The 12,855-nt window shown below is 53.0% G+C and overlaps 2 protein-coding genes across 5 annotated transcripts in view; both read left to right on the top strand.

Moving 5' to 3' along the window:
* PADI1 (peptidyl arginine deiminase 1) overlaps positions 1-3,829 on the top strand; it is a 40,880-nt gene extending 37,051 nt beyond the window's left edge. For all 3 annotated transcript variants that reach the window (NM_013358.3, XM_017001102.2, XM_017001101.2), the window contains exon 16: positions 1,832-3,829. In NM_013358.3, coding sequence (NP_037490.2) covers positions 1,832-2,065 — 234 coding nt within the window. In that variant the 3' untranslated portion in view covers positions 2,066-3,829. The remainder of the gene's footprint in view (positions 1-1,831) is intronic.
* The window catches only part of PADI3 (peptidyl arginine deiminase 3), a 35,136-nt gene continuing 29,200 nt past the window's right edge, over positions 6,920-12,855 (top strand). For both annotated transcript variants that reach the window (NM_016233.2, XM_011541572.3), the window contains exon 1: positions 6,920-7,051. In NM_016233.2, the coding sequence (NP_057317.2) occupies positions 6,960-7,051 (92 nt within the window). In that variant the 5' untranslated portion in view covers positions 6,920-6,959. The remainder of the gene's footprint in view (positions 7,052-12,855) is intronic.

Raw genomic sequence — 12,855 nt, forward strand, 5'->3', positions numbered from 1 at the left:
CTCTACCCACTAGATGCCAATAGCACTCTCCCAGATGTGACAACCAAAAATGCCCTAGTGGACAAAATGGACCCTGATTGAGAACCACGGCTTGAAGGCAGTGTTGTCTGTTAGAACATTCTGTGCTGATGAAAATGTTCCATATCGGTACAATACAGTCCAGTAGCCACTCAGCTACCACCTGAAATGTGGCTAGTGTCAATGAAGAACAGAAATTGTAACTTTATGTAAGTTTAATTTTAATTTAAACAACTGCATGTGGCCAGTGGCTACTGTGGTGGACAGCAAAGCTCTAAGGGACTGCTGAGCTCTGGTTCTGGCTGAAGGTGGCGGGGAGGGCCTAGGCTGGAGCGTGTGTGTCTGTGGTCTGGCCTCCATCTGCCGGAAGCCCCTGACTGTGGGTCATCCTGTGGGGATTCCCTAGCTTCGTTCCAGGCTCTGCTGAAGGATCCCAGCTTGTCTTCACTGGAGGGTCCCATAGGGAACACCCAGTTAACCCCTTGGTTTGTCATATGGGGAAACTGAGGCTTAGAAGGAGAGTGGGTCATGTGTCTGAGGTCACACAGTGAGCGAGTGGCGGAGTTGGGACCAGCCCCCAATCCCATGACTCCTCCTTTAGGAGGAAGCAGAGGCCTGGCTGGCTCTGGCCCTGGTCCTGGTCCTGGTCCTGGCTCTTTTCTCCTCTTTCTGCCCTTTGCCCCCTGCATGCCCCACCCCCACTCCCACCCCAGCATGTTCTGGCCCATTAGTGGGCAAAGAGGTAGTTCAGGGCCAAGGCCAGGGGACTGACCTCACGGGACCCTCCAGCTTTATGTTGGTCCCTGCCATGGATGAGGGTGGGGCAGACTTGAGGGTGGGGGGCAGAGCACGGAGAGTTTGAGGGCAGAGTCCAGGACAGGCTCACCTCAAACTCAAGACAGCCCAGAGCCGCCCTCTAGAGAGAAGGTCCGGAGTCCCCTTTGAACACCAAGGGTCACCCCTTATGACCTCTTGCCATCAACCTGGGCTGAGATTTCCTCTAAGAAACCCCCATAGCACAGCATGGGGGAGAATTCCCATCCCCAGATTAGGGCCCCAAGCCAGGTCCGCAACCAAGGGAAGGAGAGGTGCCCCCAGAGTTAAACTCAAGTGTCCCCAAAGGCTTTTTCAGCCCTTTCCCCCAACTCCTCAGTCCCACAGGTGGCCAGATAAAAAGCATGGATTTTGGCACCAGCCAGATCCAAGTCCAAATGTCAGTCTCATCATTCTCTGGCTGTATGATTATGTGACTTAACCTGTCTGAGCCACAGCTTCAGAGGGAGGCTGTGGCATTTAGTGATGATATATCTGGCACATAAAAGATGCTCAATAAATGCTAACAATGATCAGGGCTGCCAAAGACAGTTAAGCAAGCTGTGCACAGCAAAAGCACACCACACTTTGGAAGACATCCACACCACAGACCTTGTAGGTGTGTATATTTGTTGTACAAGTTTCTGGCAGATGACACGAAAATCTCTTGTTCTAACAAAGTTGCTATAATATGACAATTTTCTCATAGATGAAAGAAAGAGTGGGAGAAGTTTTTTTTTGTTTTTTGTTTTTGTTTTTTAATGTACAAAATTCCTGGTAGTCCTGGCTGTTATTCAACCTCATTTCCAACCCTGAATCTTTTTCTCCTCTGCTTTCATAGGCCCTAACTCTTGAGCAAACTCCAGTCCTAGAGCCCTTTCTAGGCTGTGGCTATGGCCAACCCATTCCCCAGGGCCTGTCTCATTCTGGCAAGGAAGGGGTGCCAGAAGCACAGCACTTATAGCCAGACAGCCTCCCTCTTGCCTTTTCTCTTTTGCAGGTTAACATGGTGGTCTTAGGCAAGTACCTGGGCATCCCCAAGCCCTACGGGCCCATCATCAATGGCCGCTGCTGCCTGGAGGAGAAGGTGCAGTCCCTGCTGGAGCCTCTGGGCCTGCACTGCATCTTCATTGATGACTACTTGTCCTACCACGAGCTGCAGGGGGAGATCCACTGTGGCACCAACGTGCGCAGGAAGCCCTTTCCCTTCAAATGGTGGAACATGGTGCCCTGAGCCTGCCCCCACCCGCCATCCTCTCTGCCCTCTTGCTAGGGAACCCTGCCAGGGTGAAGGCAAGGAACAACCACCTGGCCTCCATTCTCTTGGGGGAGTCTTGGCACTTTGCAAACATCCTGGCCACCATGGGCACCAGGACACAGGGATGGATACCACCTACCCTCGCCTCTGGAATGGCCTACCCAACCCGAGAAGAATGCACCTCATTCTTCCCTGGCCTCTTTCCCACCCACAGCCCCCAGAGGCTCTAGATCAACAATGTTAGCATGTTCCAGAATGGCTGTGGGAGGCCTAGGGAGATGGGCCCCACTTAGAATTGCTCCCCCTTCATTCTGATGCCTCCCTGGGGAACAAGGATAATGACTTTGCATCTGCACCTGGAACGGGGCCTGGGGGACCTGGGGTCTGGTGTGCCAGGCACCAGGCTGCCTCTGCTCTTGGAAAACTAGGAAAGGGGATCAGAAACATCCTCTCCCCGCTCTAGGTTTCTTCTCCCAAAGGGGACCCAAGGCTGTGACACTTACCTCCACCCCCATCCAGCACCCTTCAGCTGTGTGTGGACAAACAAGGACAGAAAAACCCAGTGTCCAAGGGCCAATTTAAATAGAAAAAAAGACAACAAAATTTTAATAGCTGACTCCGACCTCAGAAGAGTGATTGCTACCTTTCTGGAAAGACTTTAATTACCAGAGCTGGCTTCTCCCAGCTCAGAAATGCTGAGAAGCCAACGTGAGGCCTGAGGACACACAAAGGATGACGGGGCAGGAGGGGATGAGGTCAGGGTAGCAGAGTGTGTGACGACGGATTTGGGGGCCTAGAGGTGTCCGTGGTTCCTGGGCTGGGATTTTGGACTCTGGATTTGAAGGGAGCTGGAGCTTCCAGATGTAGCAGGGGTAGGGGGCCAGATGTTAGAAGAGGGTGTGTGTGTTGGGAGGAAATTAGGTTATCTCTGAAGGTGGAGTTTAATTTCCTTTAATAGTCTTTAATTATTCCCCTTCATTCTGCAGGCAGTGGGAGGGGAAGGCTTGCCCGGTCTCTCTCAGCAACCCAGGGACCCTGCACATAGCTTAGGTTTCATCCCTGAATAAACCGCTGTGCAGGCCCATGTCCCCTCCCACAGTAGGGAAGACAGCTGCCACGGGAGGTTAATAGCCCGGAGTGAGGTCACTGAGACATGCACAGGCAGGCTGGTTCAGCTGGGCTGCAGGGCACGGGCAGGAGGAAGCCAGCCTACCCTCTTCCCCCACTGCCAGTGAGGCCATTGTAGGGCAGTTGGCCCTAGGGCTTCGGTCCATCTAGGTTTTCAGTGGCCCCTGCTGAGACCTCACACTGAGCCAACTACTGTCACTGTTTTAACCAACAAAAGCTAGCCTGGAACTGCTATGGTTAAAGTGGGTGAGCGGGAACCTGAAAATCCCCTTCTGGAAGGTTCTACAGAACTCTATTTGCAAGCTCCTGCTTTAACCTGAGCGTCCTCTGCTCAGGATCATACCCCAGCCTGCACTGAGTCAAGAAGGAGAAGGAGGCTCTGAAGGGGCCGGGGGTGTGAGCTGGGGTTGGGACTCCCCTGAGAAAGAGCTGTGGGTAGGAAGGGAGTGAGCATTGCAGAGATAGGGCTGGGGGTCGGGGCCACACTGAGTGTGGGAAGCTCTGGAGTTGCTGCTGGGCCATCGAGGGGCCCTGGTGTTGGCTCTGAGAATGTTCTGGGTGACCAGTCACCTACTTTCTGATCAATAAAAATGTCGACATGCATTTCTTACAGGGCTGTCTACCCAGCCTGTTTGTTGGGTTGGGGAGGAGGGGAGGAAAGCGGAGAAGACTGCTTCCAGTTCCATCCACTATGAAGCTGCTTGGCTCAATTTCTGCTGCCACAGGCGGCCCCTGCTCAGCTAGGAGAGCCTCACAGTGCCACGGCCAGTGCCACGGCCAGTGCCAGGCAGGCTGATTCAGCAGGATGGCTGGCACATTGCCTCTTGCTCTGGGGCTGATGGCCCTGCTAAGATGGAGATCAGATCAGGGGAGGGATGGGTCCTGCCTCTTCATCTCTTCTCTCTTCCTTCAGCATCCCCTCCATCTCTCAGGGACAACAGGTCGGGGAGGCAGCCCGGGCCCTATTAACAGAGGTGAGAGTTCCCCAGCAGGGCTGGTTCCCAGGGCCACAGGCCACTACAGTTCCCTTTCTGGTTTTCGTTTTGTTTTGTTTTCTTTTCTTTTGTTTGAGACCGAGTCTTGCTCTGTCACCCAAGCTGGAGTGCAGTGGTGCTATCACAGCTCATTATAGCCTTGAATTCTTGTGCTCAAGCGATCCTCCCACCTCAGCCTCCTGAGTAGCTAGGAATACAGGCACAGGCCACCATGCCCAGCTAATTGCTAATTTATTTTTTACGGAGCTGGGGTTTTGCTATGTTACCCAGGCTGGTCTCAAACTCCTGGGCTCAAGCGATCCTCCCATCTTGGCCTCCCAAAGTGCTGGGATTACAGGTGTGAGCTACTGTGCCTGGCCCAATTCCCTTCCATTTTTGTGTCTGAAGCTTCTAAGTTACCTGGCTTCAGTGGTCTGATTTTGGATGCCTGAAATCATCACCCTCTCATCCTACACATTTGCTGCTGCCTCAAATTACACCGTTTGATACTCACTCACTTTATTTTAGCTTTTGTTGTGGAGTAAGAGGGCAAAAAGTTGCTGCCTATTAGTCATTGACACTTTAGTCTGAATTAACCACAAACCTGTTTCTAAAAGTTGGTATTAACAGAGGAGAAGTGAAGGCATGAGTCTCCTTCCAAAGACATATACAGTTCTCCGAGAAAGAGGCAGGTAGTGGGCCAGCACCCCAGGGAAAGCCCCTACTTTCTGCATCTATTCCCCATCTGTGCTCACAAGAAGGCTAGGGAGACTAAGGCTTCCTCCTGAGCTCGAACTCTTACCCAGGGCTCCCAAGGCTGACTCAGCCATCAAGCCATTCCACAGCTGAAAAAAGTGAAGCTGTCCCTTGACCCAGAAGCCCAGCAGTTCTCCTTGAAAAGAACATCTTTCCCAAAAACTGAGACATGGGAATGACAATCTCAGGGTCCTGTTGAGGCCCTTGAACTGGTGCAGATGTCCCAGCTGGAGATGCTGGGGAGCGGGTCCTGGTCCCCATCCTGTCTCAGGCTGTCAGCACTGCCAGGGAGAAGGGAGGAAACCTCTATTCAGCACCTCCTGAGCCTCCGCCAGGCAGGGTGCGTCTTCACTATTATCTCCGCCAGGGCCAGTGATTAGCTGCATTTTCTACAGATGAGGAAACCGAGTCTCCAAGAGGGGGGACACTGACACCCAAGGCCCTATAGTGGGTGCACGGTGGAGCCTGCCTCTGAACCCAAGACTTCTCTCCCCAGAGCCCTTGCTCCTGCTCTTCCAGGAGCCTGAATGCCCCTCTGACTTCGGTTTCCCACCTGACGACTGAGCTTTCCTACTCTGACATGCCAAGCTCCCCCTGGCTGGAGAGAGTTCTCACCCTCATCATTTACCGCTTTCAGAGGTTTTTGGGACCTAATAACAGCAACAATAGTAATACAATAACGCCAAGCTCCATACCAGAGCTCTACCAACGCTGGCCCCTGAGGCCTCACAGCAACCATTTTTCAGACGAGAAAAGTGAGGCACGAACAATTAAGAAAGTTGCCCGGCCGGGCATGGTGGCTCACGCCTGTAATCCCAGTACTTTGGGAGGCCAAGTCGGGTGGATCAAGAGGTCAGGAGATCGAGACCATCCTGACTAACACGGTGAAACCCCGCCTCTATTAAAAATACAAAAAATTAGCCGGGAGCCGTGGCAGGCGCCTGTAGTCCCAGCTACTCGGGAGGCTGAGGCAGGAGAATGGCGTGAACCCGGGAAGTGGAGCTTGCAGTGAGCCGAGATCACGCCACTGCACTCTAGCCTGGGTGACAGAGCGAAACTCTGTCTCAAAAAAAAAAAAAAAAAGAAACTTGCCCAAGGTCGCCCATCCAGGAAGCAGCTGAGGCAGGGCTGAAACCCAGGTCTGGCTCTAAAATCCATTAAAAAAAAAAAGTTGGTGTTTCTCAAAGGGCACCAAAATGCTTTGGGGGTGCTTATTAAAAAATCCAGAGGGCCGGGTGCTGTGGCTCATGCCTGTAATCCCAGCACTTTGGGAGGCCGAGGTAGGTGGATCACCTGAGGTCTGGAGTTCAAGACCAGCCTGACCAACATGGAAAAACCCCGTCTCTACTAAAAATACAAAATTAGCCGGAAGTGGTGGCACACGCCTATAATCCCAGCTACTCGGGAGGCTGAGGCAGGAGAATTGCTTGAACCTGGGAGGCGAAGGTTGCGGTGAGCCGAGATCGCACCATTGCATTCCAGCCTGGGCAACAAGAGTGAAACTCCGTCTCAAAAAAAAAAAAAAAAATCCAGAGGCCAGGCTGCACCCCTAACCTGCTGGATCAGAGTGGACAACAGACCTGGGAATCCGCATTTTCACCAGCTTCCCCAGCAGAGTAAGAAAGCTCCCCATTATAGTCTCTGAAAATGCAGAAAATGGAGGTGAGGAAGCAAGAAGCGTCCGAGATCAATATCATATATCTCTGCACCCCCTCAACAGCACCTGCCCCCAACAGTTCCTGGTGCCTAGCCAGGTACCTGTGGGGACTTGCTTCCCAAGAAATTAACTTCCTGGGTGCCGGGGTCGGGACAACAGGTTCGTATACAAATACTGGGTCCCTTCCAGCCAATCCTGAGCTCTCAGCTCTGGGAAGGGGCTGGGCTTTCATGACTGGAGCCAATGAATTGGCACCCTGGGCTGGAGGGGTGGGGCCAGGGGCTTTTAAACCTCATCCTAAGGGGCCTCAGGGGCAGTGTTGGGGTTGGCGGCCACAGCTAAGTCCAACACCAGCATGTCGCTGCAGAGAATCGTGCGTGTGTCCCTGGAGCATCCCACCAGCGCGGTGTGTGTGGCTGGCGTGGAGACCCTCGTGGACATTTATGGGTAAGAGTCAGAGGCCTAGTGGTTTGCAGGCCCTTGGTGCTGATGCCCTTGGACCTTCCTCCCTGCAGGCTGGGCAGGGCTTCTTCAGGGCCCACTCCCCAGCCTTGGCCTCGGAACAGCAGCCAATCAGGGAAGCTTGGGTCCTCCTCTTGCTCTACTGAGTTTCCTGAAGACCTTAGCCAGGGAATTTGAAGTTTGGGAGGCTGAGCCAGGTAGAAGAGGCTTCAGTGACTGAGCTCCAGACCGGGGGCTTGGAGGGGGCTGGTGCCGCGAAGAGATGGCACTTTTCTATGTCCAAGGGATGCTGCAGGTTGGGCTGAGGATCTGTCTGGGGCACACAAGAATAGGAACAGGCAGATATCCCCAGCCCCATCCTGAGCCTATGAGCCTAGAAACAGAGCATGAATCATTTTTAAAAAATAAGTTAATACATAGCACTTACCATGTGCCAGGCACTATTCTAAGAGCTTCACAAGTCTCTTGAGTTAAGTTTTGAACTTTAATCTTGAATTTAACCCTTACAACAACCCTGTGAGCTAGGCTTATTATTAGCATCATCTCATCAGACAAATGAGAAAACCGAGGCAGAGAGGGCAAGCCATTTGCTCAAGTCACACAGTTACTAAGTGGCAAAGCCAGGGTTTAAACCCGCTTGTGGTCTTACTCAGGAGTCTTATGGTTTTAGCTGCTCTGATACTTGGAAAATAAAGATTTCCAACCTGGTTTCCTCTAGACACTCAATGCCCATGCATTATGCTCCTACTGTGTGCCAGGTCATGCCTTTGAGGCCCATGGTAGAGGGAGGTAAGGCCTTATCTTCTCTCTCTTAGGAAGAAAAGAGGGTTAGGGTAGGGTTTTAAGAGCTGGGCTCTGGGGACCACCAGGGAGCTGGCTTCTTAGGCTTTTGGGGAGAATCCAGGGTCCTGGCTTGGAGGTAATCAGGATACTGGGAGGGGAGGGTGCAGAACTGTGGGACAGCTCTCACCTCTCAAGTCTCCCAGCCCTCTCCTCAGGCCAGGTTTCTCAACCTCAGCACTGCTGTCACGATACCTCTTTGTCATGGGGGCCACCCTGTGCACTGTAGGATGGAGAGCAGCATTCTGGGCCTCTCTTTGCTAGATACCAGCAGCACACTCCCGAGTTGTGACAACCAAAAATGTCCCCAGACATTGCCAAATGTGCCCTGGGGTGGGAAGAAAATAGCCCACCCATTGAGAACGAGTCTCCAAGACTAAGACTCGAAAAATCAGGGCGAACTTAGTCGGGAGCAGCGATGGGGTTGATCCAGGGCATTGGATGAGAGGGGGTGAGGAGCTGGTCATGGGAGGGAACCAAGTCGGGAGCAGAGCCAGCCCAGGAAATAAATCCTGGTATTGGTGGGTGGGCAGTAGGAGGAGGAAGGGGATTCAGTGGTTCTTGAAGGAAGGGGCAGCCACGGAGGCTGTGCCAAGGAGGTAATGAGGAAGGAGGGGTATCTGCCACTTGGCACCACTGCCTGCCTGCCATGGGGTGACTGGGCTGCGTGCCATGGGGTGACTCACCTGCCCCTGCTGCCTCGTGCCCGTTGGGCAGATGTGTCTCCGGTTTGACCTGTCCCAGGAAGCCTGGGCCTGGCTCCTCCCCCGCAGAGCTTCCTTAGAGGATAGAGGATGGATTGGGGCAATAAGAGATAAAGGCCATAGCTTCCTGGAGTCACCTGAGCCACACTGGAGGTTTGCAGAGAAGGCCATCGGTGGGACAGCCACAGGGTGGGGGATGGAAGCTCTGATACCTTCAAATGAGGGATTCTTGGGCCCTGGTGGCCAAACCCCCCAGGGGTGGGAGTGGAGAGCTCCTAGTTCGTTCATTCACATATTCTTCAAGTATTTCTTTTGGGTCTAGTGTGTGTACCATTCAGAGCCTTGAAGGATGAGCACAGGCTCTGGGGACACATACAGGGGAGAACAAGCAGCTCCTCCTCTCTGAGAAGCCAGCAGAGGCTGGACAACCTTCTTACAAGGGTGCCACAGAAAGGACTCCTTTCTGGGAAGGGGAGCAGGACTGAGTTAGTTCTGAGGTCCCTCCCGGCTTGGAGGTGCCATGATGTAACAATCCTGGGTCCTCAGCCTGCGGGCCAACAAGAGAAAGGGCAGTAGGTGTTGTGGCTCAGTCCTGGCTCTGCAACTTCCCAGCTCTCTGACCGTGGGAAACTCCTTTAACTTCTCTGAGTCTCTGTTTCCTCACCTGTTGCCTGGGGATGATAATAATATCAGCAATGGCACTGAATGCCACTCCCCAGCAGTGCCTGTAAGCGCTTTCCATATGTTAACTAATTCTCACAAAATTCTCAAGTGGGCACTGTCATCATCGTCATTTTATAGATAAGAAAACAAAGGCACAGAGAGGTTAAACAACTTGTCCAAGGTCACATGGCCAGTGAGTGGCAGAGCCAGGATGTAACCCAGTTTGGCCTTACTTCAAAGGGCAGTTAGGGGCATTGAATGAGATTGTGTGTGCAAAGCATGTAACTAATACTGATTTGTGGTGAACATTCAGTTATGTTAACTGTCACCATTATCATCATCATCAGTTTAAGGCTTTGTCCTGGGCCTGTGGACAGCCTCAAGCATCCCCAAACCTGCCATATGCAGGATGTCTGGGGAACAGTCTCTGGACCGTATTGGGAGAAGGAGTTGAGAAAAGAGAAATTTACATCTGACTCATGGCTGAGTCAGGGCAGTCTTCCTGGAGGAGGGGCACCAATCAGACCCTTGAAGGATGAGGACAAGCAAGTCTGTTGGGCCTCTCTATCTGTGGCAGTGGATTCAACTTTATCTTCTTGCCTTTCCATGAATTGGAGATGACCCAGGCATGGTATGGGGGCTTTTCTTTCTTGAGCAGTGAGTCTTAGGATGGGGAAAGGGAAGGAAGGGTACCCTGGTGCACTGAGCCATGCACTGGGCGTCTGGTGGCTGATTAACTCCTCCCTGCAACTGGAGGCAGGCTCAGCGGGATGGTGGTCTGACAAGTGCTATCCCACAGGGCTATAGGGCTTGAACCCAGATCCCATCAAGTTCCACAGCCCAGGTGGTTTGCTTGGTTCCACACAGCTCTTTCTCAAGGCTCAGGCATCAGCACAAACCTTAGCACAAAGTCTTGGTGCAGGAAGAAAGCTGCTTTCTTTTCTTCTTCTTTTTTTTTTTTTTTTGTTGAAGACAGGGTCTCACTCTGTTGCCCAGGCTGGAATACAGTGGTGCAATCTTGGCTTACTGCAGCCTGGACCTCCCCAGGATCAAGCTATCCTCCCGCCTCAGCCTCCCGAGTAGCTGGGACTACAGGCGTGCACCACCATCCCCGACTAAGTTTTGCATGTTTTGTAGAGATGGGGTTTTGCCATGTTGCCCGGGCTGGTCTTGAACTCCTGGGCTCAAGTGATCTGCCTGCCTGAGCCTCCCAAAGTGTTGGGATTACAGGTGAGAGCCACCGTGTCTGGCCCAGTTTCATTCTTAATGGGCAAAATCAAAATCCCAGGATGACCTCTGGTGGGGAGGGCCATCCTCAGGGCCTCTGTCATTGGCCCAGTGGTAAGAACAGACTGGACCCATTCCCACTGGGCTTTCCCATAACATGTGGAGATGCTTCCTGGAGTCTGTTGGGTTGTGGCTGCTCATGTGGCTGAGGGGCCCGCGAAGCTGGTCACCTTTGGGATTCATCACAGGTGGGCTTGGAGAGCAGTCCCCAGGCTGGTTCAGTGAGACATCTCTGGGGTCTTACACGCCACTTCATTTTTTAGTTGGGGAAACTGAGGCCTGGAGTGTGAAATGACTTGCTCAGGGTTACATAGTGAGTTAGGGACAGAGCTAAAACTAGAAACTAGGTCTTCCAATTCAAACGAAGGATCTCTGACTATTGGTGAAGAAGAAACTGAGTCACAGAGGTGCTGAGACTCGCCTGGATTGGAGGTCCTGGTGGGGCTTGTGGCGCCTCTGTGCTGGCAGACTTGGCTCTAAGGGCCCCAGAGCTCCAGGTGTTCTCAGATGCACGGCTGTGTAAGCCCTGCAGTCAGAAGGTCCTGGAAGGGTCAGGTCCCATCTGCATGGCTGCAGAGGGGCCCAGCGCACACAGCAGCCTAGAGGGCAGCTGAGTCTGTTCTCTAAGACACCTCGAAGAGGGGGCAACCTTGACCTGAGCGGGTGCACAGCTCTCGCACCTCAGAATGACCTCAAGTAACAGCACATGGAAAAGACAGAAGGCAGGGAGCCCATCACTAAGGTATCCCGGGCAGGTGTCTCCTAAGAGACCACACCTGGCAATGAGCCATGAAGCTCCTCTTTTCTCCAGCTCAGAGGTTCTCAACCCTGGAAGTGTGTTTCAATCACCTGGGGATCCATAAAAAAATTGATGCCCAGGCCCCACCTTGGGAAACCTGATTCAACTCATCTGTGAAAGGCCCCAGCACCCTAGGTTTTCAGGATCCGCTGGGGATGAATGTGCAGCTGGGGCTAAGAACCGCTGCCCTCACTGGGAAGACAAACAACTCATGTCACCCCTTTCTCTGCAGAGGCTGCCTAATGGAGCCAGGACTCCAAGTTTTGGTCCTAGTTCTGTGGTCACTCACTATGTCATCTTGAGCAACTTTCTACTCAACCCTGGGCCTCAGTTTCCCCATATGGACCCTGAAGGGGTTGGCATAGAACAGTGGGTTTCAATTTCCACTCATGGAGGCCTCTGAGTCCCCTCCCTGATTTGACAAAGCAGCTTCCATTCTGTCAACATCGGATTTTGTTTGATGCGAGAGCTCTGACCTGCCTGTGCAGAGAGCTGGGCCCTTGGGGGGATTGGTGCATTTCTGCTCTTTTAAATACGGGGGATTTGGAAAAAGGGTATACGGGGCTGCCACTTTCCAGTGGTGGGGTGGGGCAGGGCCACCCAGATTACAGTGGGACCATGATTTCCTGAACCTGATTCTATTGATGAGGCTGGCAGCGTCGGCGGATCTGGGATCCTCGCTGACTGGGGAGGGGCAGCTGGAACTGCCACCCAGAAACCCAGCTGCCTGGGTCTTGGTCTCCTCTGCCCCCACATCCCAGCTCGGTGGAGACCTCGTTGGTCATCTTGTCAACCTTTCGGTGTTCAGCCATGGGGAACTTTCCCATCAGTTTCTCAGCTCCTAAAATGTCTGATTTTGTTCTCCCAGAAGTCCAGGCCCTGAGTCCATGAAGGGAGAAGATGGGTTTGGGTTTGCAGGCGAGTGGGGACAGAGCTGGCCATGAGTCCTGGCTCTGTCACTTGCTAGCTGTGTGACTTTGGGCAAATCACCTGCCGTCTCCAAGGCTCAGTATTCTCATCTGTAAAGTGGGGATAATAGCACACAAGTTATGTGGCTGTGGGGGATACCTTCCTCACCAATGCCCCGTCTTCCTCCTCACCATTGAAGGGGGTGATACACGAGGGGGATGGGCTCACACTGAGTCAACTCTACACGGGCTGGAGGGACCAGGCTCCAGCATTTTTTTTTTTTTTTTTGAGATGGAGTTTTGCTCTTGTTGCCCAGGCTGGAGTGCAATGGGGCTATCTTGGCTCACTGCAACCTCCGCCTCCCAGGTTCAAGCAATTCCCTGCCTCAGCCTCCCTAGTAGCCGGGATTACAGGCATATGCCACCACGCCCGGCTAGTTTTGTATTTTTAGTGGAGACGTGGTTTCTCCATGTTGGTCAGGCTGGTCTCGAACTCCTGACCTCAGGTGATCCACCCTCCTCGGCCTCCCAAAGTGCTGGGATTATAGGCGTGAGCCACTGCGCCTGGCCCACCAGGCTCCAGCATTT

Source organism: Homo sapiens, chromosome 1 (genome assembly GCF_000001405.40).
Source record: "Homo sapiens chromosome 1, GRCh38.p14 Primary Assembly".
Taxonomy (NCBI): Eukaryota; Metazoa; Chordata; class Mammalia; order Primates; family Hominidae; genus Homo; species Homo sapiens.